This window comes from Homo sapiens, chromosome 10, assembly GCF_000001405.40.
Source record: "Homo sapiens chromosome 10, GRCh38.p14 Primary Assembly".
NCBI lineage: Eukaryota > Metazoa > Chordata > Mammalia > Primates > Hominidae > Homo > Homo sapiens.
Genome location: NC_000010.11, coordinates 113758579 through 113786345, shown reverse-complemented (window position 1 = coordinate 113786345; position 27767 = coordinate 113758579). Strand labels below are relative to the sequence as shown.

The window sequence follows — 27767 nt, the reverse complement described above, 5'->3', positions numbered from 1 at the left end:
TCAACTTCACTGAAGAACTCTGAGTTAATACAGCTGAATCTGAGCATCCTCTCCCTTTGGGCCTGTTTATGATACTTTAAATTCCTCTTATCATCTCAAGGGAAAGTCACTTGGCACAAGCTCTGGAGAGAAATGGGATGGAGGTGGGGGGATCGTGGTGCGCCATCATCTTACCTTATTAAAGAATTATTGTGATTCTCCACCTGTCCTCTCCACTCCCCCTCAATATACACAGACACACACACATTTAGGTACATATATTGAATGTACAGTGGCTCAATCTCTAGGTAGAGAAGAATACCTTGCTGGAATCTACACTCACATGTTGACAGCTTCAAGTAAGGATGCATGTATTTGGCCCTCTGCATTCATTCCTTATCCTACCAGCTGCTTTTAAGATTTCACTCTGAAGGGTTTGCATCCTCAGCCGAGAGAACAAAGTGGAAATATATAGACTCCCTCTGTGGCCTGTTCTGCAGGCATAAGGCAAGCATTTGGAAGGGAGAGCAGGCCGGAGAGGTGGTAGCTCCAGATGCCCTGCTGAGAAGTGTGAGTGCAGGGAAGGTGTTGGCCTGGGAGGTGGAGGCATGGCATGGAGCTGGGGAAGCCCAGGCCAATATCTCCACATGTCTGGGCTCTGGTTTCTTCTCCAGCAAGACTGAAGGGCTGCACCAGATTTGAGCCGAGGATGTGATGGCCAAGAATTGCTCCAGTCCATTCTCATGACCTCCTTTCCTCCAGAAATCTGCCAGACAGGGCCATCCTGGCAGGACAGCTGAGCCAATCACTTTGTAGTCCCCAGCCCCACATTCACCCACCTAGAACCAGGTCGGGACAAATATCAAGGGCAGTTCTGGAAGGGGAAATATCACAGGTGGCAGAAGAAACTGAGGGTGGGTGTGGACGTGGCTGTGGTGGGCAGTGTGTCAGGAGGGTCTGTCCCACCCTCTTAGCTCTGGCAGAATCATATAATTATATATATATATATATATATATATATATATATATATATATATATATATATATATATATGAGGCACAAGTGTTTTTCTAGCCTCGGCCTGGGAACTGTCTGCATCTCCCAGCAGCCTGTCCTATACCTTTCTTTTCTTAGCCGTGCAGCAGAAGAGGGCTCTAAAAGCTGAGGTCTGAGACAAATGGCTTGATGACTGGGCTTTGGGGCCAGTTTGGTCATGAGCTTCCCTTGGGGCCACTCCCATTTTCAGGAGAAAGAGCCTTGTTGGACCCCTGGGGAAGTGTGGTCCCCAGGCCTGGGAAAGAAGGGGCATAGAGGAGTGAACCCGGGCCCTGAGGAGCGGCAGGCAGAAGTGGCTTTGCTGAAGCCAAAGCTGTGGGCTCCTCTCTCCACCTCAACTGCACAACAGCATGTGGCAGTGCCCAGTTCCTCCAGGCACTGGTTGTACCCTTCCCTAAGTAACAGATAGCAAGGAGTGAAAGCCAGGCTTCTCCCTTCAGGAATCAAGCCTTTTTGCAGGTGGGGAGGGGGTGACAGCCATTAACGTCTTTCGGAACTATTGGAAACTGTGGGCCTTCTCCCCTCAATAACGCCCGTGTGCGTCCTCCACATTCTGCAGCCTCTTGGGAGGACTCGCGTGCCTCTCCACGGGACCCCAGGCACAATGCTCCCCAGTGTATGTTCCCTGTTCCACCTGCAGTCAGATCCCCTTCAGGGAAGGTGGCTGTTAGAATGCAGATTCCACAGCCCCACACCGGATCTGCAGAATCAGAATCTTTCAGTTGGGGAAGCCTTGGAATCTGCCCTGAGATTTTCCTTGAGAACAAACTCCTCATGTGAGAGAAGCCCCCAGAGCAGGATCCTAATAACAAGGACCCCAGCTGGCCCTGATGTTGGAGGAAAGTTTTGGGATTAAGAGAGGGCCAAGGGTAAGTTGGCTGATCTCCCCGTGCTGGGCTGGGAAGAGCATGGGATTGGGAGCCAGGAGTTCTGTGTTCTGGGCCCGGCACTTCCTTGAGCCATGTCAGTGATTCAACTCCTGAGGCCTCCCGCTGTTCTTTGCCTCATTGAGGGGGTGGAAAGACTGGTGGGTAAGGCTTGTCCACCAGCCTCCATTTAGCATTTATTGGCCTGGTAGTGTGGCCTCTGAGCAGGCCCAGGGAAGGATCTTTGGGCTTCAAAGCCGTGTATCCACCCACACTATTGGTTGCCAGGTGGTTTTACCTGCAGGTTTTTTTTTTTATTTCTTTCATTGTAGTGGCTTGGCTTCTCATTTCTGAAAGTTTAAAAAATATGTACATGTGGCCGAGCACGGTGGCTCATGCCTGTAATCCCAGCACTTGGGGGGGGCCGAGGCGGGCGAATCACCTGAGGTCAGGAGTTCAAGACCAGCCTGGCCAACATGGCCAAACCTAGTCTCTACTAAAAGTACAAAAAAATTAGCCAGGTGTGGTGGCGGGCGCCTGTAATCCCAGCTACTTGGGAGACTGAAGTAGGAGAATCGCTTGAACCTGGGAGGCGGATGTTGCAGTAAGCCGAGATCACACCACTGCACTCCAACCTGGATGACAGAGCAAGACTCTGTTTTAAAAGAAAAAAAATGTGCATATATATTTATATATACATTCCCACGCTTGTATTTTTGTATTATAAAAGTGACATATGCACATTGCAAAAAAAAGTATTCAAACATTACAGAAATGCCTCTCTTCCCATGGCCAACCCTGATCGTATTTCTCAGAGATAACTCTTTACTAAAAATTTGACTCTAAGTTTTAATTTTTTAAAAAAGCACGTAGAGCAAAAGTGGGACAAAGAACACCTATGGAGTGTTTACTCCTGATCAGGCAGTGTACTTATAAGGAAACCTCACAGTAGCCCTGGGAGGTACGGACCTCTCACTCTAGTAAGGGTTGAAGAAATTTGATATACACATATACATACACACAAACACCAAACATTTATTTGTACAAAAGTGGGATGATGTTATCCTTATTATACAACTTGATTCTTTCATTCTTAATGTATCACGAACAATTTTACAGAACTGTGCCTGCTGAACATTTTAATATCTACAGTGTTCAATGATATGAAATCAGAATTAAGCAATACCCACATGATTTTTTTTTTTTTTTTGAGACTGGGTTTTCCTCTTGTTGCCCAGGCTGGAGTGCAATGGCATGATCTTGGCTCACTGCAACTTCCGCCTCCCGGTTCTAGTGATTCTCCTGCCCCAGCCTCTCAAGTAGCTGGGATTGCAGGCATGTGCCACAATGCCCAGCTAGTTTTGTATTTTTAGTAGAGACAGGGTTTCTCCATGTTGGTCAGGTTGTTCTCGAGCTCCAGACCTCAGGTGATCCACCTGTCCCGGCCTCCCAAAGGGTTGGAATTATAGGCATGAACCACCACGTCCAGCCTGATTTTTTATTATTACAAACAGTACTGCAGTAAACTACTTTTTTTACATGTATCTTTGTGTATTTGTGTATTTCTGCATGATAAATTTATAAAAGTAGAAACAGCAGATCCAAAAGGGCATGCGTTCTCACATTAAATAAAGAAATCCCCAAGACCAGGTAATTTATAAGAAAAGAGGTTTGATTGGTCCACAGTTCTGCAGGCTGTACAGGAAGCGTGGCAGCATCTGCTTCCGGGGAGACCTCAGGAAGCTTTCACTTGTGGCAGACAGAGCAGGCATCTTACACGGCAGGAGCAGGAGGAAGAGAGTGAGCGGAGAGGTGCTGCACACTTTTAAACAACCAGATCTCACGAGAACTTACTATCACGAGAACAGCGCCAAGGGGATGATGCTAACTCCTTCGTGAGAACTCCACCCCCACGACCTCACGATCCAGCTGCCTCCCACCAGGCTCCATCTCCAACACCGGGGACCACAGCTCGACATGGGATTTGTTAGGGACACAGATCCAAACCGTATCAGCATGTAAATGAAAAATTTTTAATACTTTCCGAACAATCTGGGTAACAGGAAATGAAATGTATTTGAATGTCTCTTCTAAGTGCTGAAGGTATTTTCAAATCCAAGTTCAACTATGAGGCTGGCATCTGGACATTTGTTTCCCAGAGCTGGTTTTAGATTCTTGGTTCTGCAACTGAACGGTTATGAAACTTGGAGAAACAAAGAAAATATGCCTTTCATCGCTCCGGGGCTCGATTTTTTCCATGTGAAGCATGGTAAAATACTCTTTCTGAAGCCTGTTTTTGCTCTAACACCCCCCGATTTGATTAGTGCTTTAGCTCTCTGCCTTTGTTTTCCTATTTATATAAAAGAATTTTATTCCTTTGGCCTTCCAGGATCAATTAGTCAATGGATCCATTAGTGAAGAACTTTCAACCTTGAAGTGCTAAGTAGTTCTGTTATTGCTTGTAGAGCAAGCTGATCTTGGCTGCATGTGATGTAAAACTGCTGCGACTTCTAAAATCGTTGCTGAGTCTTTAAGAGAACAAGATACTTATTGAATCCAAAAGGCCACTCTGTCTCAGCACTCTGGCCTGTGGGGTTGAAGAGAGGCAGGTGTTTGGGAAGGGGATGTTTGGGAAGGAGGTGTTGGGGAAGGAGTTGTTGGGGAAGGGGGAAGGAGGTGTTGGGAAGGAGGTGTTGGGGAAGGAGGTGTTGGGGAAGGAGGTGTTTGGGAAAGAGGGGTTTGGGAAGGAGGTGTTGGGAAGGCGGTGTTGGGAAGGAGGTGTCTGGGAAGGAGGTGTTTGGGAAAGAGGTGTTTGGGAAGGAGGTGTTGGGGAAGGAGGTGTTGGGAAGGAGGTGTTTGGGAAGGAGGTGTTTGGGAAGGAGGTGTTGGGAAGGAGGTGTTGGGAAGGATGTTGGGGAAGGAGGGGTTTGGGAAGGAGGTGTTGGGAAGGAGGTGTTGGGGAAGGAGGTGTTGGGGAAGGGGGAAGGAGGTGTTGGGAAGGAGGTGTTGGGGAAGGAGGTGTTTGGGAAAGAGGGGTTTGGGAAGGAGGTGTTGGGAAGGAGGTGTTGGGAAGGAGGTGTCTGGGAAGGAGGTGTTTGGGAAAGAGGTGTTTGGGAAGGAGGTGTTGGGGAAGGAGGTGTTGGGAAGGAGGTGTTTGGGAAGGAGGTGTTTGGGAAGGAGGTGTTGGGAAGGAGGTGTTGGGAAGGATGTTGGGGAAGGAGGTGTTGGGAAGGAGGTGTTTGGGAAGGAGGTGTCTGGGAAGCCTGATCAGCTATCACATCTCCCTTGGGAATCTTGCCTTCATGCAGTGAGTATTTGCAACTGTATGTCCCTTAACAAAGAAGGAATTGTGTGGACCACATCCTCACAGAACACAGCATGTATTACATGAAGGACTGACCCAATCTGTGTCTGTGGTGTTTGGGACAATAGCTGAGATAATAAGGCCTTCCAATTCCCCCAGGTTCTCCAATCATGCCACATGACCCTCTTAGCATCTCTGATACAATAACCAGAGAGGGGATAGTCATCCCCATTGTTAAGATGCAGATGCAGAAATTCAGAGGGGGGTGCCGACTGTCTCCTATCACATGGCAGCAGCAGGGGGCAGAGCTGGACAGTCCCAGCTCCATCCTGGTTCTGCTGCCATGGGTCTGGGGTGCGTTACTCCCTGGCTCCTTTCTGCTGGCTCTTTTTAATGGCCGGACTCCTCTTGGGAGCTCTGTTCAGTCTAGGCTTATCCAGCTGAGAAGGTGCAGCACTTTGGCATTTTGAGGGACACATACAGGATGCAGCATGGAATGTCTCTGAATTTGGGATCCTGCCGATGGTAAGCTTTAATTTCTAAAACACAAGAAAGAAGAAAGTTAAATGGCTAAAGATTATCTTTAAGATTGTTGCTTCCCAATCTGTCCTCATTCATACCCTTGGGAGCTGGTATTGAAGAAAGTCCTGCAGTGAACTGTAATATCTGGGCCAGAAATAGACAGGGATGACTTACTTGGCTAGTTAGGTGGAAGGTGGATTTTTATTTTCTGGCATCCATGGCCTGAAAAGGAAGCTGAGCTTTTAAGGAAGGATCCAGGTAGCATTGATGGTGCTCTAAGGGGTCCAATTGCACCAAGAATTAAAAAGGCCTCTTCAAACAAGTGAATCAAAATGAAACCACCAGACAGGACTCCCCCAGACAAGATTGGGAGGAAACTTAAACTTGATCAGTTTCTCCTGCAACCTGTCATGTCCTTCCCCTGCACACACCTTCTCCCCTTCCCTTGAAAATCTCAGTTCTCTCCCCTCCCAATCCCTGCCCCATCCCCACCCCAACCTCCACTTCCCTCATCTGTAGCATAACAGGAAGGAGAGTAAATGGGATTGGCTCAGGCACTTTAAAACATCAAGGGCCAATGGCTGTTCTTCCTTTGGTTCCATATCTCCCTTTTCCAATATTCTTTTTCCTTCCAGGGACTATGTGTTTGAATTTTAAAAGAGCAGTGGATACCCATCAACACAAAGAAATCAGGAATGGAGGCAGTGGGAAAGTAAGGGAATTTTCTATCTTCCAGATAATCATGAAGATGAATACTGCATATTTCTCAATAGCATGTAGGGGCTGTTATCAATTAGAAAGGGAAGGCAGAACGAGCACAAGAGAAATGCAATGACTCCACAGTCTAGAAAGGCAGTCAGGATAAACTGCAGTCAGCAACACCCAGGTACAGTTCCTGGATCTGCTCACAGGCAAAAACCCTTTTCTTGGCTTCTGAATTAATGCCTGGATCTTTGGGTCAGAGTAGTGTTTGGTAACTTTCAGAAGAGTTCAGAAGCTTATATTGACCACTTGGCCCCAGTGTATGTGGATCCTTTTTTTTTTTTTTTGAGACAGAGTCTCACACTGTTCCCAGGGCTGGAGTGCAATGGTGCAATCTCGGCTCACTGCAACCTCCGCTTCCTGGGTTCAAGCTATTCTCCTGCCTCAGCCTCCCCAGTAGCTGGGATAACAGGCACCCGCCACCATGCCCAGCTAATTTTTTGTATTTTTCATACAGACGGGGTTTCACTATATTGGCCAGGCTGGTCTCGAATTCCTGACCTCATGATCTGCCCACCTCCGCCTCCCAAAGTGCTGGGGTTACAGGTGTGAGCCACCACACCCAGCCCAGTGTGGATCTTTGGCAGAGAAAATGTACTATAGTTACCAGATTGTTGGACTAGGGCCCTGAAATCTACTTCTTTTCCACCATGCAGTCTCCTATCCAGTCTTCAAAACCTAAGCCAAACACCACTTTCTTTGAGACACCTTCCTGGCCTCCTTCATGTAGATTTACTCCATTCTACCTCTGTGATCCTATGGCCCTGTGTTCATATCTCAGGGCACACACTGTATAGCAAGTAGCACATAACATGCCTGCTTCATCCACTAATCTGTGAGCTTCAGCTCAGGCTGAGGCCATTTTTGTAGCTCTTGAATTTAGCACAGTATACAGCACCCAGCAGATGCTCAATAAATAGTGAATGGGCCGGGCGCAGTGGCTCTCGCCTGTAATCCCAGCACTTTGGGAGGCCGAGGCGGGCGGATCACGAGGTCAGGAGATTGAGACCACGGTGAAACCCTGTTTCTACTAAAAATACAAAAAATTAGCTGGGCGTAGTGGCCGGCGCCTGTAGTCCCAGCTACTCAGGAGGCTGAGGCAGGAGAATGGTGTGAACCCGGCAGGCGGAGCTTGCAGTGAGCCGAGTTTGCGCCACTGCACTCCAGCCTGGGCGAAAGAGCGAGACTCCGTCTCAAAAAAAAAAAAAAAAAAGAAAGTGAACGAATGTGTACTTGCCCTGCCACTAACTAGTTATATATCTTAGACAACTCATTCACTTATCCTCACTGGAATTACTCATTTAGGGTAATGAGTAATAGGGATGGCACAATTTGTGTGACCAATGGGATTATTACGTAGTGCAGAAGAGATAAGATGTGTTCTTAATATAGATATGCTACACAATCACAAAATTCCTAGAGCTGGAAGAAATTTGGAAATCATCTAATACAATGGTTTTCAGAAATTTGAAGCCAAAGAACTGTTTTTTAAGGAAAGCTAACAGGAAAGTCCAATATTTTGGACTAATCTTTTTTTCATAAAAGATAAAAGATAAATGTAAGCTTCTCCAGTTGAAGACCCAGCATACTCTCTCCTTCCTCTCCTCTCCTTTCACCTCCATCCTGGGGATGCAAGAAGCACAGTTTGAAAACCAGCCTCTCACTTTAGTGAGAATAAGCTGAAGCCCAGAGAAGGCAGTGAATTTCCTAAGGTCACAGGGCTAGTTAGAAAGAAAAGTAGACCAGGGAAGGAATTAACACATGAAGACTGCAGTGATATGCAGGACAATAGCTAGTCCTTGAAAAAACAACATACTTAGTGCATACCCATATAATATTAGGGGTGGTCTGTTGTTGTTTTTCTTTTGAGACAGGGTCTCGCTCTGTCTTCCAGGCTGGAGTGCAGTGGTGCAATCATAGCACACTGTAACCTTGAATTCCTGGGCTCAATTGATTCTCCTGCCTTGGCCTTCCGAAGTGCTGGGATTACAGGTGTAAGCCACCGTGCCCAGCACCACATATTATGTTTAATTCTTGCAATATTCTATGAGGAAGTTAGGGCTGTGACGATTTCTGAGATAATGAAACTGAGGCTTTAAAAAATGGGCTTGAATAACATTCCATGGTCAGTTGTAGTAGAAGTAAAAGTAACTAGTAGCTTTATTGAGCACCTAATATGTGCCAGTCACCTTTGTAAGCACGTTACACATATTACCTCATTTAATTATCCAACAACCAGCACCATCATTAGTCATAATTTTACAGAAAAGAAAACTGAGGCACAAATTGGTTGAAGGAGCTGTTTTGGAATCCCTGCACCAGTCTGATTCCATGCAAGCTCTTTTTGCTACATCATGCCGATCTGAGGTCCTGAACCCAGGTGCTCTGTCTCTTAGCTCAGTGCCTTCTCCAAATGCTACTTGATATGAAAGAATCCTGAAAGAGTCCTGAAAGCACATTCTGTTATTTGCACTTGATGGTGGAAGAATGAGGAACCTTATTTGTATTCAGGGTACTTCTCAGACTCCATCTAAGACCCTGATCTTTTTCCTTCTGGTACTGATTTGCCCTGTTCAGGGCTGGTCAGTACGACTCACCTCCTTCTGGATGGACCGGGTAAGAAACAGGGAGACCTCCTCCAGGCTCTGGGGTTTCAGGTCATTCACTGCCAGAAGATGATCTCCGTGGCAAAATATGCATCCCAAACGTGGGGGGCCTTCCCACTGAGACACACTGCAGTGGGAATACAACATCCAATACCAGTGTGAGGCTCAGCTGGCCAGGAGGGCAGGGCACGCAGGGTCTCCTGATTCTAGGTCACGTGGCACCACCTCTGAAGTAGACTATCTCCTTCTGTTTAGAATATTGTTTCCTCTGTCACTACAATAGGAGCCTAACCCTTCCTCCAAAGCCCAGCTCAAATTATACCACCCTTACAAAGGCCCATGAAATCCTACATCCCATTCCTCTGCTATAATTCATCTCCCCTACCCCTGGACTTCTATTACATTGTGTGAGTACCTGATTTGTTACATTTTTAAATAAAATGCATTTTACATTTACTTGTTTTTGTGGCTGTCTTTTTCTTACCAGGTTACATGACCCCAGAAGTATGATGTCACCTTTTTGTTTGTTTTGTTTTTTAATTTTTAAAACCCCATGGTTCCAAGTAAAGAAAGAGTGCTCAGCGTTTGTTGGAAGTGAGGGTGTAATGATTATACAATGAATATATAATGAACAAATAAATGAATTAAGGAATGTAGCAGCTCAGTTATGGAGGAGTCCACAGTTTCAGTCAAGTGTGTATTGAGCCTTAGATTGTGGACTATTTAAAAAAATGGAAGGTGTGTTTCCTCCCTTCTTAGAACTTATAAGACAATTAATGTGTAGTGTTTACATTAAAGAGTTTTCTTCCCTTATGAAGATGAAATCTTCCATCAAAATAAATTACAAAGTGTTTTAAAAAAATGCCATATCAAATAGACAGTGATTGCTTTAAGAAAATTCTCTGCCACACAGTCTTTTGTGTCTGTGTCTGTGACTAGCAGTTTTTGTTTTTTGTTTTTTTTTAACCTTGTGTCTGGAAGTCTTAGAAGCTGATGTGCTTTCTTCTTTTAGGCCTCTGATTCTTGTTGACTTCACTAATTTCACTCATTCATCAAATACTCATTGTACAGTGATTGGAAATGATGTCCTTGGGCCACCTGTATCCCAGCCCCTTCTTCCTCCCTTAGAGGAGTCAGAAATGGCTGCTTCCTGAACTTTTGGGTCCTGTTATTCCCCCTGCTCACCTCCAGGCTGACTTTTCTGCACAACAAGACCCTGATTTCTGCCTCAAAGATTTTTTTGTAACAACAGCCAGTCAACAGTCCAAGCTCCCCCGCCCCAAACCTAGTCAGTGTTGCCAAATACACTGTTTCAAGATGTAATTGTTCTCTTCAAAGCTTCCAGCCCCATTTATAATCCACAACAGTCAAATCTCCAACCTACCATATCCGTCCTGTGGCTTCTGTGAGAGCAAGATAGTTGATGACATCAGGAGGAGAAAGGAAAACGTTCAGTTTCTCCACTTGGCTTTCATCGGGGATATTACTATGAACAAGACATTTGTAAAAGTCACATCAGGCAACTGACCTTGGCTCTCAACTGTACTTTCTGAGTAGACTTTTGGCCTCTATTTCTGAGATGACATTGTCCAGGTAAAGGTTGTTCAAAACATTTGGAGAATAATATAAATTTAAGTTACTGAAAAATCCTCTTGGGATGTGGTAGCGGATGGTAGGCTATGGGAACAGAGGGAAAAATGGACTAAATTGGTTATGTAACTGTCCACATCAGGCCAGTCTGCATATTTCTCTGCTGGAAATGATTCCATAGAAGAAGGCATGGAAAAGAGTTAAAATTACATCAATCGTACCAAATGCTCTTGGTATCACTTAAAGCCTAAATAACCCCCTCCTGGTCTATAACTAAGTCTCATGCAACTTGCATGTCCATAATTACACTCATGGGAAAACTGAGTGACATGCTACTCAGATTGGTGTGGATCCCAAGTCCTGGGACCTGAAAGAGTAGCCAAGGGGGAATTTTTAAAAATAGCTGAAAATGCCACCCCCCGCCCCAGGAACTGCTTTACTTGAGATCTATCATCCCCTCTCCTTGGCCACAACATCAATGACAGGGAGAAGATGGTCAAGTTTTTGGCTGACTTGGAGATTTTTAGGAACAGCTTTAAAATTTAAATTCTAAGTTAAAAAAAAAAGTGGGAGGGAGGCTGCCTTGCTCTTAGGGCCCATCAAGTTTTAGAAATTAGAGCTTTACTTGATTAATATAGACAATTGCACAACAGTTAGTGAGGCCGACCCCTTTTGGTCATTTGTGGTCTGTGCTTCCACATCGGCAGGGGAAAGACACCAATCAATTCCTGAGCCTTGTTCTTGCAGGTGGAGGTCCCCATCCTGGGTCTCTGGAAGGGTCTGGGGTTCCTCTTTGCTGCTATCCACAGACTCATGGGATGTCTCTTTGAAAAAACTAGAGCATAAGAAGTTAAAACAAGCCCTATTTTAGCATGTGTTTTTACAGTGTTCCCCTGTGTGTGTCAGATTTAAGTAGCTAACAGCCATGTGAAGACTAGCAAGGTCTTGACGTATGTCCAACTATCAGAATCACAGCCACAGCTAGCATCAAATTCAACAAACTTTCCTTCTAAAAATAGATATGGAATCAAAATTACCCTTTACAGTGTTTGGAGGACAGAAGTGAGAGTGTGAGAGACATAAATGCAAAGTAGAAGATAACTTCCTCAGGAGACGGAAAAGGTCCTGAGGATGTCATCGGTGGTTTTCTGTGGGAAGAGACATGACTCCCTCATTTTTTGTGTGTTGAGACGACTGAATAATATGTGGAAACTGGTCTCTGGTAATGTTTGGCATCAGTTTATCAACTATTGAAATGAACTGACAATCATTGTTCCTTAACAGCAGATGAGCAAACATCAAATTTTGAAACGGCATTTTGACTTACTAGGATTCCATTGGCTCATAATGACACTCAATTCTTCCAGAGACCTGGTCTGGACCATCAGTTTCAATGGATTCACCAGAATCACTGGAAGCAATGATATTATCCAACTGCAGATAAAAGGAATAGATGTAAGAATCCCAGTTTACCGATAAGTCAGGTACCTTCTTATTTCTAGTATTAACAGCTCTGGGCTCTGACATAGAGGTACAGTTTCCAGTGGATGAACGTGGTTCTCATTTGAGAAATATCAACCAACCTTACCTCCGCGAGACTGAACCAGCAAAGCTTCTGGAGGACTCAAAGTCAATTTTCTTCTCCTGGATCCCTCATGCTCCGGATACAAGTGTTATTTCTATTGAGCTAAATTGCTGTTTATCTTTCTGTTTCACCATTCGGCACTTAATGACATGAAAGCATTTCCCCAATCAGTTCTACTATAGAATCATGGCACTTGGCTGGGACAAAGACTCTGACACAATGTGAAGCTGGTCTCAGGTTACTATGCTCACAGGCAGCCCAAGTGGCTTCAGGGACATTGCAATGTTCTAGAAAAATACTGCCCTTAGGAAGCTCTCCATAGCCCCCTTAGAACAAAGAGAGTCACTTGTGGCAATGATTGCTCAAAAACCCTAAGGCCTACCTAAGTTCACCGTTAACCCATGATGGAAACCTTCCTTCCAGTCAAGCCAGTCTTCCCATTGGCCCCCTGCAAATGGTGCTGTTCCATCGCCATGTTCGTGCTCTCTTCTTCACCTCGAGTGCCATCTTTCCTTTCGGCCTACTGAAATCATGTTCAGGCCTGGCTGAAGTCCCACAGCCCACTCTGATCACCTCAGCTACGGCAGAGCTCTCCTTTCTCTCAATTTCCATTGCATAGTTTTTTTACTTATTTATTTATTTATTTATCTTTGGTCTTTTTAGCTGTTTTGTCTGCTTTACTAGACTTTACTTATCATAAAGTACCTAGCAAAGGCCAGGCCTATAACTGATGCTCAGTACACATCTGATTGGTTGGCTGAACTATCATAAAAGACTGCATCCCAGGAAACAGAAATATGAAAATATTTTGGTGAAAGAAGAACTCTGTGCTCAAAGGAGCTTGGGAAATGCCATGTGTTGTATCTGACTTGACTATTTACAATGCACCACTGCATACTAAATGCTCTGAGAATTCTGCTAAGAAGCTTGTTTAACTTATTTTAACTGGGTGTTTCCGGAACTTATTTGACCCCAGAATGTTTCTTTTATATAAACATACGTCACCATCTTACGGAAAACCCCCAGTTTGGGAAATGACGCAGCATTCCCACCCTCCATTCTGTCTTCCTATCTCTCACTTCCATTCTCTTCTCTCTATAGTCCATGGCAGATATAGCTGCTCAGTTAATACTAATGGAGGATAATTCAGGTTTTGAGATTTCCCAACTCAGAAGCCATCGCTTCCCCTATGCTGTCTACAGAATGAAGTCAACTTGGCATTCAAGACCCATCATGGGCTGGCCCTTTTCTTCTGTTTATCTCCCACTATGCCTTTCACGCACTCTAGGTTGCAGCCTCACTGAACTATTCCCCATACATGTATCAAATGGCACTTCATCCCAGAAGCCTTCCTTGACTCTGATAGAGAAAATCTGTTCTTTTTCTATTGCTTCCAGAGCACACGGACCACGTCTTTTGTGCAGCGTTATCCTGTGGTAACTGACAAGACTATGCACTCTGACAGCAGGGTGATGTCAGGCTCATTACTTTAGCCACCATGCCCAGTACAGTACAGTGACTAGTGCTCAGAAGGCATTCAGTAAGGGCTTCCTACTGATCAATAGACTGATCGATACACAGCACACAACTGATCACCCAAGGACCTTGGCTCATATTATTCTTTCTGCTAAGAATGCAGAAAGACTCCTCAAGGCAATCCCCCACATCCAAATTTTACTCATCATGTATGGCCTAATGTCATCTCGTCCCTGAAATCTTCCTGATCTTTTGTTTGAAAGTCATCTCCTCCTCCCATAGCTCATGCACCCCTGGTATTTTATAAGCATCTCTCTTCAGCATAGAACCCTCTGTCTTGTATTACAGCTGTCTCCTAGTCAAGTGTCAGCACCATGAGCACGTCATCTGTATTTGATTTACTTCTGTGTTCCCACTGACCATAGCCTAATATTGCACGAAAAGTGCATGGCAGGGTTTCAGTAAATATTTGTTAAAGAAACAAATGATGAATGGACAAGAAGGGGTTACCTCTAAAAGAACACTTCGAGGAGTAAGATAATGATTCTCTTCCTTCACATCTTGAGTGGCTTCTGATAAATCTTGTAGGTGAGTTTGCCTAAATCCTGGAGAACTTTGTTCCATTAAATGCTGAAGAAAAGAGATAAAAATGCTTTGCTTTTTCTTTGCAAGAGATAGAATTAAATCACATGCATTCTAGAAAAGCCGTAATAAATTAGTTGGGTTAAAAAAGACCAGAGGGTCTTCCAAGATTACATCCAGAAGCTCACACAACTTGAACTTGCCTCTTGAGTCTGGGTCACCACTGAGGATGAAAACATATAAGCACATCACTCAGGCTTTTTTTCTCTACCGTTTGGAACAGTCACTCAGAACAAGTGGTTTTCTCCTGTGGGTGGTATTCTTTTTTTTTTTTTTTTTTTTTGAGACAGAGTCTCACTCTGTCCCCCAGGCTGGAGTGCAGTGGCGCGATCTCGGCTCACAGCAACCTCCACCTCCTGGGTTCAAGTGATTCTCCTGCCTCAGCCTCCTGAGTAGCTGGGAATACAGGCGCGCATCACCATGCATAGCTAATTTTTGTATATTTTTTAGTAGAGATGGGGTTTCACCATATTGGCCAGGCTGGTCTCAAACTCCTGACCTCGTGATCCACCCGCCTCAGCCTCCCAAAGTGCTGAGATTACAAGCATGAGCCACCATGACCAGCCCTGTGGGTAGCATTCTAAGTCACTAAGCTCTGGAGTTGCTACCCTCATCTTTTTCCTGTAATCATCCAGTGCCATCTAAGAATGTAATTAACCCAGAATCAAGGCGTTGCACCTTTCCTGTTCCTGCTCCATATTTTTCTTTTGTGTTCTGTTCACACACTTCTATTGTTTCCACAGCAATGGAATTTGGTTGTGTTGATCATATGATAGTATGAATTATGGGTTTCCAGGTGATCTAGATTCAACCACTATTGCCTCCCCTTCCCCATAGATACAGAATATTCTACTAAAGTAGCTTCTTTGCATGGCAGAAAAATTCCAAGAACAATGCCTCAGAGCAGGGGGTTTGGAAAAGACCCTGAATGTTCTCTAGAAAAAAAGTCAAGTTTTAAAATACAGGTGTGTTTAAGTTCTGTCCATGTTTTAAGTTCCAAGCTCATGGAGCCGGATCATGCTGAGTTGGGGGTAAAGGCAGCCCACTTAATTTAACCAACAACAACACCACCCAGCAAGGCAAACAGTACTGTTAACTCGAGCTGGTTTAAAAATCACTGGATCTATAGTGTGAAAAGGCAAAGTGACCAATAATGTTATCTCTAGGGGGAGGGAGATATCATGAGTGAAAAGCAAGAGGCACTTACAGACAAGGGTGAAGCTTCCTAACTGCTGCATACCACCGTTTCTACTCGCTAAATGAAGAACTGAGGTGAGGTGTTTGGCATGGTGAATTTGATATGCTACAAAAAGCTTTCAAAATAGTTGGAGAGCTACCAACTAGATAAAACAAGGGACTAGGACTCATTAGATGTGCTTGGTATACATGGACAGGGTAAAGTCAATGGATAAGTCTCTAAGAGACAAAATAGTATCCGTGCCAGAGAACAAAACCACTCAGCATGTTTATGACTAATATCCCAAGTTGGGAACATTGCAAATCCAAGAAAGCTGAAGGTCCAATTACAAGTCGCTTTCAAGAGGCAGGTACATTATATTTTATGTCTTCAAATGGATTTCATTAGAAATGAGGAAGAAGTGATAGACAGCTATAATGAATGAGAAGCGAGATTGATCAGGGTAAAGGGAAGAGATTAACAAGAAACTCAGCCTTTGCCTGAGGAGTACAGACAGAATGGGCAGAAATCAGGTAGTGTCTGGGAAATCTTTTGGCAGAGGGATCTGTGCCCTCTGTGTGAAAGAAAGGAAGCAAGTTGCCAGCTAGGTTTTGGTTTAGCAAAGGGGTCTTACCCTAGCATACCCAAAGCATATCAAGAGCATCTAAAATGAATGAATACACTGAGAGGTATTCAGGGCAAGCCCTCAGTGAGGCTCATCTGTGGTATGGGATAAACATCAGGGCTAAGAATCTTTCTTATAGTGCATCGGGCTTTGAGGAAGGTGGGCATGGTTAAATTCAATTGCTAATTGGTAAGATTTTTAGGCATTAGCTGCCTCCCAGGTGTGGTGTCCTGAGAAAGAAGTGAGCCCCATTACCTTGTCTTGGAGACCATTTCTTGGTGAGCTGGAGCCAACAGCCTCTGATGTGCTGGAAGGGCCAAGGAGAGGGCTGGAGTAGAAGAGGGTTCTTTTATTACCCAATGAGAGTTCCTCCTGCTCACAAAAAAAGGAATCAGTCAGGGCACAGTTGATCTCTGTCTGGAATGAAACGGCAGCCTCTCTACCGGGCTCCTTGCCTCCTGTCTTTTCCCATAGCAATCTAACATTCATGCCGCTGGCCTGCCAGCATTATTTCACCAAGACAAGAGCCGAACTTGTCTCTCTCCTGTTTCCAAACCCTTGAGGACATTTAGCCTGACCCTCAGAGATGACCAGCGTTTCCCTCAACTTGTCTCCTCAACTGTGTCTCTTTCTGACACCCTCCACCCCAGTTCCCTTTGCTCTAATCACTTCAGTCTACTTGAAGACATGCCTTGATTTCTCCTTCTCTTTGGCTTTTGCTGTAAGCATGGAACAACCTAGAAAACATGTCAAAAAAAGATACCTAGGGACCAAAGTTCCATCTATAAAGGTCTGCCCTGAGAAAGGAACATTAGCAGAGGCCCTTTTGAAATAAGTTTAAAACTTAAAACTGCTAAGCATGTACATGAAAGATACATTATATTAAAAATGCAAGATACATGTAAAACATTTTTATAGAAACTGCCCTAGACTTAGTCATTCAAAAGGGAGCTTGTCATGCACCTTGAATAACAATGATGGAAAATACTATATTCTAGCTACTACTTAAAAATGTCACAGTTAACTTTTCTTCCCTCTAACACAATAATAAAAATCTGAAGTGTCTGTACTTTAGCTCTCTCACAAAACACAAAAGAATTTTTTTCTGTTAATCATAAAAAGTAATAAGGATGTACATTTTCTCATTTATTTATTCCTTGTATTAAAGCCAGTTACTAAGGAGGCAAAGGAAAGCTACCATTGTTTTCTATTGAAAGAGGGTTGTGTTCAGGTGCCCTGTTATTTTATTAGTGATATGGAGTCACCTCTGTGTTCTGCTGTGTTGCTTTTATATCCTGGCGAAATGATGACATGAAGGAGACCCAGTCTTTAATCTTCTCCCTGTTGACAGGAATAAACTTTCAGTTGGCATGTGGCAACAATAGTGCCTTTTGAACCAGAGAAGGATTCTTTTATGAATGTTAGAATGGTGGTGAGAGCAGGTACCAGCGAAATAAGAATTTTTCCTAAGTAGCTTAAATGGCCTCGCCACCTCCACATTTGCACACTAGAATTAATGCTCAGCCACCTCTGCAAGGAAAGCTCAGAGAAAGGGAAGAAAAGTAGAAAATAATAGTAGTAATCACAGGGTTTGGGGCTTTCGGCTTTGACATTGATTTCCTTTGTGTTCTCAAGCAAGCCCCCTAACCTGTCAGTGTCATTTTTGTGTAACTATGCAGGTGGGCCTTCCCTTAGGGAGTGCATGTGTTGATGAAGAATGTGCTTGAGTGAATTTGTATAATCACATCTTTTCTATGGACTCACAGGACAACTTAAAAGGAAGCTTTGGTCAATCTGAAACAGATCAGGGTTTTTCATATGTTGGCTTTGGCATTGTCCGCCTCCTCTGCACAGTCTCTCCCACACCCGCTTTGCCTCTCCCTCAAGCAGATAATCATCCATGAAGAGTCCACTAGGCACCTTTGCTAGGACCAGAAGCCCCTCTTAAAAACTGCAGACTACTTTGGGGGCAAGCCTAGTTCCTCCCTAATATATGTAGCTTGTGTAGATGTTTTTGTATTGGGTTCTTTTACATGGAATGCTTCTGGGGTGATGGTGACTGTTATCGGTTGAAATGTACCCTCCCCGCAAAAATACAATGAATTTGTATGTTTCAGTTCCGTATCCCAATACTTCAGAATGTGACCTTATTTGGAAAGAGGGTTGTTGCAGATGTAATTGGTCAAGATGAGGTCATACTGGAATAGAGAGGGCTCCAAATCCAATATTACTGATGTTCTTATAAAAAGGGGAAATTTGGACACAGAGCTATGCACACAGGGAGAACGCCATGTGAAGACTGGAGTTATGTTGCCTCAAGCCAAGGGAACTACCAATAGTTAGGAGAGGCCCCTGGAACAAATCTTTCCTTGGAGTCTTCAGAGAGAGCATGGCTCTACCCATACCTTAATTTCGGACTCCTAGCCCCTGGAACAGTGAGACAATAAATTTCTGTTGTTCAAAGTTATCCAGGATGAGGTTCTTTGTTATAGCAGCCCTAGGAAACTAGCTCAGTAACTTTTCAAGATATTTTTAAAAATAACTAAGATTGCCAAGATGGCATTTGAGGTTTGTAGCGTGGGTTCAGAACATGTTTATTGGTATAAAATGTTTTGTTTTTTGGTTTGTTTTTGTTTTGCATGCAGTAGATATTCTGTGTTATCTTACTTCTCTCACCTGTCGTGGCCAATGAGGAAGTATTCCCTGTTAGTGGTTCTGATGGACATGACCTCATCAGGGTGGCATTTAAACATCTTCTGCACAGATTGCATCTTTTCCTGGCTACTTATGCCAACTTCTACACTGGAATTTCTATTAGATATAGACACAAAGTATTAAACCAAGGTAAATACAGAAATAGAAAACTAATATTTTATATTGGGATTCAAATGGAATAAAACTTTAGATGTGCTGGATCCATGTTTCCAAGATTGTCCAATAATTTTAGAAGATAAGTTTGGATTTTTTGATCTGGTTAATTAATTGAAATTATTTTGTTTAGCCTAAGATTCAAAAATTTCTATTTTAATTGGATTCTTGATTCCACAAATTATGTTTTTCAATTTTGGGGTGCACAATTTATTAAAGAGAAGACCAAAAAAAGCTGATCTAAATATTTTTTAAAACTCTATCTTGACTTTATAAAATGACAATTTCATCTGCTCCCTCTCATCCACAAATTATGTGAATCAAACTCCTTAACTGAATGCCTGTTAATTAAAGACTTATCAAGTATGACATACAATATGAAACAAATATTCAACTATCTTTTAACTCAAAGTGCTCACTATTTTAGCTCCTATTCAGTCACAAATATTATAATCAGCTTGAAGCAGGTTCCTTTGGTCAATTATGTAAATTTCAATTTGCATGCAACTTGTTACTGTTTGACTTTATAGTATTTGTTGTTATAAAAGTTTTCCTGCTTGGATACACACTGATCAATTTCAATGGAACCTCGGTGATGATGGTCTTTATAATAGGAAAGACTAAAGCTCTTTTCCCCAGCCTTTGACAGGATGAAAAACCGCTTTTTCCAAGAGGTCTGAAAAATAAAAAGATTTTATGTCTTAGTTAAATCTCAGAGGAAAAGAAATGATTTTTAAAAATGCTCATGAGGCTGGTGGGAGGCTTGTTAAATCACAGCAAATACTTACCACAGAGGAGAACAGCTGAGAAGGTGGTGATTTAATAAAGTAATCTTGTTTGCAGACTTCATTTTCATAAGAAAATGTAAATTGTTTGCCTAATAAAAGTGAACAGAACTCAGTTTGTTCCTCATAAATTTCTGAAAAGAACTGCCTCAATTGGAAAACACTGTTTATCTCTGGAAAGACCTTCAGATTATTCAGTAGTTATGGAAAAGGACACCTATAATAACCCAAGAAAACAAAGGACCAAATGTATGATTCTTATTCCTCCACAGCCGAGACCTTCATTCAAACAACATTTGAAACCATGTTAATTCAGCTCACACCTGTCTGGCTTTCTGTTTCTAGAGTATGTCGTTGGCTCTCTACGTGTGAGCAAAGATTTGGCTGTATTTCCATTGCAGAAGCATGATAATTCTGCATTGCCCTTTGGCTTAGCAAACAAGAGCAAAAGCACCTGCTATTAAAAATGAAGTGGCAAAAACTATCTGGGGAAGGGGGACAGGTAGAGTTGCTGCAGAAGTTGGAAAAGGAGTGAAGGTAAACACAGCCACCTCCCCAGAATTACTGGATACTATCCTAATAGCCCCAGCTATTACCAAATACTGTATTACCAAATCTTAAGTCTGTTTTCACTTAATAAAGAAGCTCTAATTTTTTTAGTAAAGACTGCCCTTTCCAAAACTGAGGACAAACTAAACCTATAGCCTGGATGTGAAAGCAAATCCAAGCTAAAACAAAAACAAAAACAAACCCAAAATGAAAACAAAAATAACAACACTGTGTTTAACAACATTGTGTTTTTCTAAATAGTGAATATGATACATATTTATTGTAGACATTTTAGAAAATATAGAAAATATTAAAACTGCCTATAATTTCATCACTTATAGAGAAGCAGTTAACATTTTAGAAACTTCTTTATTTAATCACTTCTGCCACCCCGTTTTCAATAGTGAGTGGTTTTGCTTTTGTCTGCTAAGCCAAAGGGCAATATATACTGTCTCCCTCAAGTATTCAAGAGTGTCGATTAACACATGTGTGTGCTGAAACTACCTGAGGCCAGAGAAAGAACCATTAAAATACATCAGAGATTCAGAAAAAGTGCTTGTTACCTCCAGCCATACTGGAAAAACTTATAATTTACAGGGCATTGGGTAGAGTACTCAGGAATGTCTTGCCTCAGTGTGAGGAATAATTAGCTCTACACTAATTACTAGTTCTACACTGAGCACTGCTCCAAACCCACCTAAAAAATCATGAAAGACTTAGAAGAAAGTTGTTCCCAAAAAATTTAACTGTATCCCAGAACAAAGCTCAAGATTCATAGGAATACAAAGATATTCAGGAAACAACAAGGTAAAATTTGCGATGTTTGGCAGTCAATCAAAGTTTACCAGGCATACAAAGAGGAAGGAAAACATGATCAATAATGAGAAGAAAGTCAATCAATCAAAACAGGCCTAGAACTGACACAGATGTTAGAATTGGCAGAGAAAGTAATTAAAGCAGTTATTATCACTATATTTTCAAAAAGTTAGGGAGAGATATAAAAGATATAAAGAAGACCTAAAGTGAAATTTTAAAGATGAAAACTACAATGTCTCAAAAAAACAGCAACAACACTGGATGGGAGTAAGAGCAGATTAAATATTGTACAAGAAAAGATTAGTGCACTTAAAGGCATGGCAACTGTAACTAACAACATAAACAAAGAGTTAGAACATAATTTAAAACTCAGAAAGAGCACCAGTACACTGTGGACAATTTCAAGTAGCCTAGTATATAAGTAATAGGAGTCCCTGAAGTGAGAGAGGGAGAAATAAAAAATATCTGAAGTAATAATGCTAACAATTTTATAAACCTAAAACTATAATCCCAGAGATCCAAGCAGTTCAATGAATCTCGGCACAAGATACACAAAGAAAAGTACACCAAGGCATGTCATAACTCAATTGTTCAAAACCAGCAATAAAGAAAACAAATCTTAAAAGTAGCCAGAGGAAGAAAAGACCTATTGCATACAGAAAAAAGACAAGAAACAGAGATATTGATTTCTCATCAGAAAAAAAATGCAAGCAAGAAAAAGTAAAACAATATATTTAAGGGTTGGGTGTGGTGGCTCACAACTGTAATCCCAGCACTTTGGGAGGCTGAGGTGGTGGATTTCCTGAGATCAGGGGTTTGAGACCAGCTTGCCCAACATGGTGAAACCCTGTCTCTACAAAAATACAAAAATTAGCCGGGCATGGTGGTGCAAGCCTGTAGTCCCAGCTACTTGGGAGGCTGAGGCAGGAGAATGGCTTGAACCTGGGAGGCAGAGGTTGCAGTGAGCCGAGATAGCGCCACTGCACTCCAGCCTGGGCGATAGAGTGAGACTCCATCTCAAAACAAACAAACAAACAAGCAAACTATATTTAAAGTACTGAAAAAATACTCTCATTCAAAATTCTATATTCAGCAAAAATGTCTTTTAAAAATGAAGGCAATTTAAAGACTTTTTAGATATATAAAGGCTGAAATAATTCATCATTAGGAGGCTTGCAGTATAAAAAATGTGAAGGGAAGTCCAGGAAGAAGGGAAATGATAACATAAAAATCTGAATTTAAACAAATTGAAAGCACTGAAATGGTAACTACTGGGGTAAATGTATGAAATTATTTTCTTATTATTGAAAACATTAAAACATTAACTGAACAAAAATAAAGACAATGTATTGTGCAGATTATAACATATGTACAAGTAAAATGCATTCCAACAGTAGCATAAAGGCCAATAGGGAAAAATGGAAATACGCTTTTGTAAAGTTCTTTTATTATATGTGAATTGGTATACTATCACTTGAAGTTAGACTGTGATGTGTATAAACCCTAAAGCAATCACTAAAATAACAAAACAGAAAGTAATGACTAATAAGCCAACAAAGGAGATAAAATGGATTCATAAAAAATTCGATTATTCCAAAAGAAGGCAGAAAAGGGGGAAAGGGAGAACAAACAACAAATAGGACAAACAGAAAATAAATAACAATATGATACATTTAAACCTGACTATATCAGTAATTATGTTAAACGTAAATGGTCTAAACACCTCAATTAAAAAACAGAGATGACCAGATTGGATAAAAAAGCAAGACTCAACTCTATGCTGCCTGTAAGAAACACACTTTAAAGATGAAGATACAAGTGGGTTACAAGGAAATAACTGGAAAAAAAGATATGCTATGCCAACGCTAGTCAAAGAAAGCTGGAGTGCCTATATTAACATCAATGTAGATTTTAAAGCAAATAATATTACCAAGGACAAAGAATATCATTTCATAATAAAGGGATGAATTAATCCTAAGAGGACATAAAAATTTAAACATATATGCCCTTATAACATAGCTTCAAAATACATGAAGCAAAAACTGATAGAACTGCATGAATAAATGGACACATCCGCAATTATAGAGATTTCAATATCCCTCTCTCAAGAACTGATAGAACAAATAGTGCTAAAATTGATTTTTTAAATTTTGGATGCATTTTTAATGTTTTAAATAATAAGTTTGCTAAGAGTTTTCATTCAAGAAGAGTAATGCTGGCCTCATAGAATGAGTAGAGAAATATTCCCTTCTCTTCAATTTTGTAGAAAATCAGCAAGAATACAGTAGGCTTGAACAACACTACCAACCAACTTTAACTGATTGATATTTATAGAACATTCCACTCAATGACAATAGAGTATACATTCTTCTCAAGGGCACATGCAACATTTATTAATATAGATGTATTCTGGGCCATAAAACAAGTCTCAATAAATTTAAAAGCATTCAAATCATATAAATCATGTTTTCAGAGCACTATGAAATCAAATTATAAATCAATAACAGACCTCTTAAAAGATCCTGAAATAAATAATCTCTAAATTTAAAAAATCCCAAAAATAAATTAGAAAGTTTTTTGAACTGGATGAAAATTAAAACACAAGGTATCAGAATTTGTGGATGCCACTAAAGCAGTACTTAGGGAAAAATTTTTTAATGGCTATGTTAGAAATGGCCATGTTTGAAAAGAACAAAAGTCTCAAATTAATTACCTCAGCTTCCACCTGAAACGTTTCAGGAAACTAAACTGAAAAAAAAAAAAAAAAAAAAAGGAACAAATCTAAAGTCAATAGAGGAAGGGAGATAATAAAGATAAAAGTGGAATTCAATGAAAGAGAACACAGAAAAACAACAGAGACAACCAATGAAACCAAAGTTAATCCATTAAAAAGATTAAGTTAACAAACCTCTACCTAGGCAGATAGACCAGAAAAACTGGAGAGAAAACACAATTTGCCAATATTAGGAGGAGAGAGGGGACATATCTACAGAGTCTACTGATATTAAAAGGATAATAAAGAAATATTATAGACAACTTTATTCCAATAAATTTGGCAACTTAGGTAAACTGAAAAATTCCTTGAACTACACCAACAAAGGTCACTGAAGAAGAAATAGATAACCTGAATAGCCTCCTATAGTTATTAAAGAAATTGGAGTTGTAGTTAAAAATTCTTCATATAGGCCCAAGTGGCTGTACTGTTCTCTTTGATCAAACATGTAAGCAAGAAATAATCAATTCTACACAAAGCCTCCCAAAAAAATTGAAGAGAAGGGAATATTTCTCAACTCATTCTATGAGGCTAGCATTACTCTTCTTGATTGAAAACTCTTAGCAAACTTATTTAAAACATTAAAAAATGCATCCAAAATAAGTAAAAATAAATAAAACATCCAAATGGAAAAGAATGAAATAAAATCATTTCTATTTGCAAGTGACATAATCTCATATGTTAAAAATCCCAAAGAATCCCCAAAAACTACTAGAGCTAATAAATTCAGCAGTATTCAAGAACAACAGACAAAAATTAGCTATATTTCTATAAACCAGCAATAAATAATCCAAAAATAAAATTATGAAAACAGTTCCATTTACAATAGCATCCAAAAGAAAAAAGTACCTAGGGTTAAATTTAACTAGGCAGATAAAAAGACTGGTACACTGCAAACTAGAAAAATTGCTGAAATAAAGAGACATAAATTAATGGGAAAACATTCCATATTTATGAATTGAAAGACTTAATACTGTTAAGATATAAATACTACCTAAAGCAATCTATAAATTCAATGCAATCTCTATTAAAATCCCAATGGCATTTTTTATCTTGTAAAACTAGAAAAGCTAATCCTCAAAATCATCAAAAATACCAAGGGGCCCTGAATATCCAAAATAATCTTCAAGAAGAACAAAGAGTACACACACTTCCCAATTTCAAAACTTACTACAAAGCTACAATAATCAAGAGTGTCGTTTTGGTATAAGGACAGATAAGACACATAGGCCAATGGAATAGAATTCAGAGTCCAGAAACAAACCCATACATTAGTGGTCACGGCCATTCAATGGGGAGAGAACAGTCTTTTCAATAAATGGTGCTGGGCCAACTGAGTATTCACATGCAAAAGAATGAATTTGGACCCCTATGTCATCCCAAATAATGAAGTTAACTCAAATAAATGACCTTAACATGAGAGCTAAAACCATAAAACTTTTAGTAGAAAACATAGGTGTAAATTTTTATAATCTTGGATTTGACAATGTATTCTTAGATATGATACCAAAAGCACAAGCAACAAACAAAAAAGATAAACTAGACTTCATCAAAATTAAAAACTTTTGTGCATCAAAGGATATTATTAAGAAAGTGAAAAGACTACCTACAGAATGGGATAAAATATTCAAAAATCATATATCTGACCAGGGCCTACTATCCAGAATATATAAAGAACTCTTACAATGCAACACAAAAAGACAAACAACTCAACTAAAAAGTGAACAAAGAACTTGAACAGACATTCTTCTAAAGAAAATAAGCAAATAGCCAATAAGCACAAGAAAAGCTGTGCAATACATTTAGTCATTAAGGAAATGTAGATCAAAATTAAAATAAGAAACCACTTCATGCTCACTAGGATGGCTATAACTTTTTTCTTTTTTTTTTGAGATGTAGCCCAGGTTGGTCTGGAACTCATGTGCTCAAGCAATACTACTGCCTTGGCCTCCCAAAGTACTGGGATTATAGGCGTGAGCCACCACACCTGGCCCATTCTACTCTTAAGTAAAGGAATATACAAATACAAAAGCTGGTCATGAATGTTGATAGCAGCTTTATTTGTAATAGCCAAAGACTGGAAGCAACCCTGATGTTCATCAACAGGTGAAAGGATTAACACATTGTGATACATCTATACAATGGAATACTATATGGGAATAAAAAGAAACAAACTATTGACAGATGCAACGACATGGGTAAATCTCAAGATAATTATGCTGAGTGAAAAAGATGTCAGACAGAAAGTGTTCATACTGCATGATTATATAAAGTTCTATACAAACTAACATATAGGGATAGAAAGCAGATCAGGGGTTGTCTGGGGAAGTATGACTGCATGGAAGAGTGGGAGGCAGGGGACCAAGAAAACTTGTGAGGTTGATGAATATGCTTATTATCCTGATTTAGGTGATAATTTTATGGCTGTGTACATTTGCCAAAACTTATTAAATTGTAGACTTTAAACATGTCAGCCTACTGTATGTCAATTATACCTCAATAAAGCTTTTTAAAAAATCTAACAAATTTGAATGAAAAGTAAGCATACTCCAACCATATGACCCAGCCATTTTGATTCTAGGTAAAATAAAGAAATATATGATTTTACAAAAATTAATGCACAAATGTTCATATTAGCTTTATAATAGGCGAAGACTGGAAGCAACCTGGATATTCAACAGGTGAATGAATCAACAAATTGTAGTACATCCATATAATGGAATACTACTCATCAAAAAAATGAACTATTTTTGCACTATTGGTGCACTCAATACCAGGGATATATTTTTAAAAAATTATGCTGAGTGAAAAAAGTCAGACAAAAGGGTGTATGCTGTATGATTCCATTTATGTTAAACTCTAATAAATACAAACAAACTTACAGTGAGAGAAAACAGAACAATGGGGACTGGGATTGGGTGTGCAGAAAAGGATTACAAACAGGCACAAGAAAACATCAAGAGTGATGAGTGTGTTTACTATTACCCAGGCTGGAGTGCAGTGGTATGATCTTGGCTCACTGCAACCTCTGCCTCCCAGTTCAGGTGATTCTCTTGCCTCAGCCTCCTGAGTAGCTGGGATTACAGGTGCCGGCCATCACACCTGGCTAATATTTGTATTTTTAGTAGAGATGGGGCTTCACCATGTTGGCCAGGCTGGTCTTGAACTCCTGACCTCAAGTGATCTGCCCACCTCAGCCTTCCAAAGTGCTAGGATTACAGGCGTGAGCCACCGCACCCGGCCACATTTACCATCTTGATGATTTCCCAGGTGTCACACATATCAAATACAGGCAGACCTCATTTTGTTGCACTTCACTTTATTGTGCTTTGCATATATTGCTTTTTTTTTTATTTACAAATTGAAGGTTTATGGCAACCCTGCACTGAGCAAGTCTACTGGGACCATTTTTTCAAGAGCATATGCTTACTTAGTGTCTCTGTGTCACATTTTGGCAATTCTTGCAATATCTCAAACATTTTCATCATCATCATATCTATTAGAGTGACCAGCAATGAGTGATCTTTGAGTAATTGTTTTGGGACAGTATGAATGGTGCCCATATAAGATGGTGAACTTCAAAAATGTTGTGTGTGTTCTGATTGCTCCACTGACTGGCTATTCCCCCATCTCTCTCCTCTCCTTGGACCTCCCTATTCAATGAGACTCAACAATATTGAAATTAGGCCAATTAATAACTTTACAATGGCCTCTAAGTGAAGGCGAGTGTCAAGTGAAAGGTGAGTTACATGTCTCTCACTTTCAATTAAAAGCTAGAAAATCCTA

At 40.9% G+C, this 27767-nt stretch overlaps 1 protein-coding gene and 1 non-coding gene across 13 annotated transcripts in view, besides 1 other annotated feature; one reads left to right on the top strand and one right to left on the bottom strand.

Moving 5' to 3' along the window:
- Nucleotides 1–2916: 2916 nt before the first annotated feature.
- Nucleotides 2917–27767, bottom strand: part of PLEKHS1 (pleckstrin homology domain containing S1) — a 31748-nt gene continuing 6897 nt past the window's right edge. For 2 of the 12 annotated variants that reach the window (NM_001193434.2, XM_005270163.3), the window contains exons 3-13: nt 19847–19935; nt 19628–19734; nt 18867–19001; nt 17456–17531; nt 16446–16562; nt 14257–14376; nt 12013–12119; nt 11353–11520; nt 10480–10581; nt 9087–9222; nt 2917–5744 (exon numbers count right to left, since the gene is read on the bottom strand). In NM_001193434.2, the coding sequence (NP_001180363.1) occupies nt 5565–5744; nt 9087–9222; nt 10480–10581; nt 11353–11520; nt 12013–12119; nt 14257–14376; nt 16446–16562; nt 17456–17531; nt 18867–18961 (1101 nt within the window). In that variant the 5' untranslated portion in view covers nt 18962–19001; nt 19628–19734; nt 19847–19935 and the 3' untranslated portion in view covers nt 2917–5564. Of the gene's footprint in view, nt 5745–8622; nt 8937–9086; nt 9223–10479; nt 10773–11310; nt 11521–12012; nt 12120–14256; nt 14377–16445; nt 16563–17455; nt 17532–18866; nt 19002–19627; nt 19735–19846; nt 19936–20955; nt 21528–27767 lie in introns of those variants that run through there. The other 10 variants (XM_011540175.2, XM_011540171.2, NM_182601.2 and 7 more) reach the window with 9 other exon arrangements.
- On the top strand, nt 8292–8353 carry MIR4483 (microRNA 4483). The gene has a single exon (NR_039703.1). It is a non-coding gene; the product is annotated as a microRNA 4483 (primary transcript).
- Nucleotides 12533–13732: an enhancer, noted in NCBI's record as "BRD4-independent group 4 enhancer chr10:115532373-115533572 (GRCh37/hg19 assembly coordinates)". NCBI's record gives its function as "activates an origin of replication core promoter dependent on BRD2, P300/CBP, MED14 and CDK7 cofactors, and independent of BRD4, by STARR-seq in HCT116 cells {active_cell/tissue: HCT116}" and the evidence as "EXISTENCE:reporter gene assay evidence [ECO:0000049][PMID:35650434]".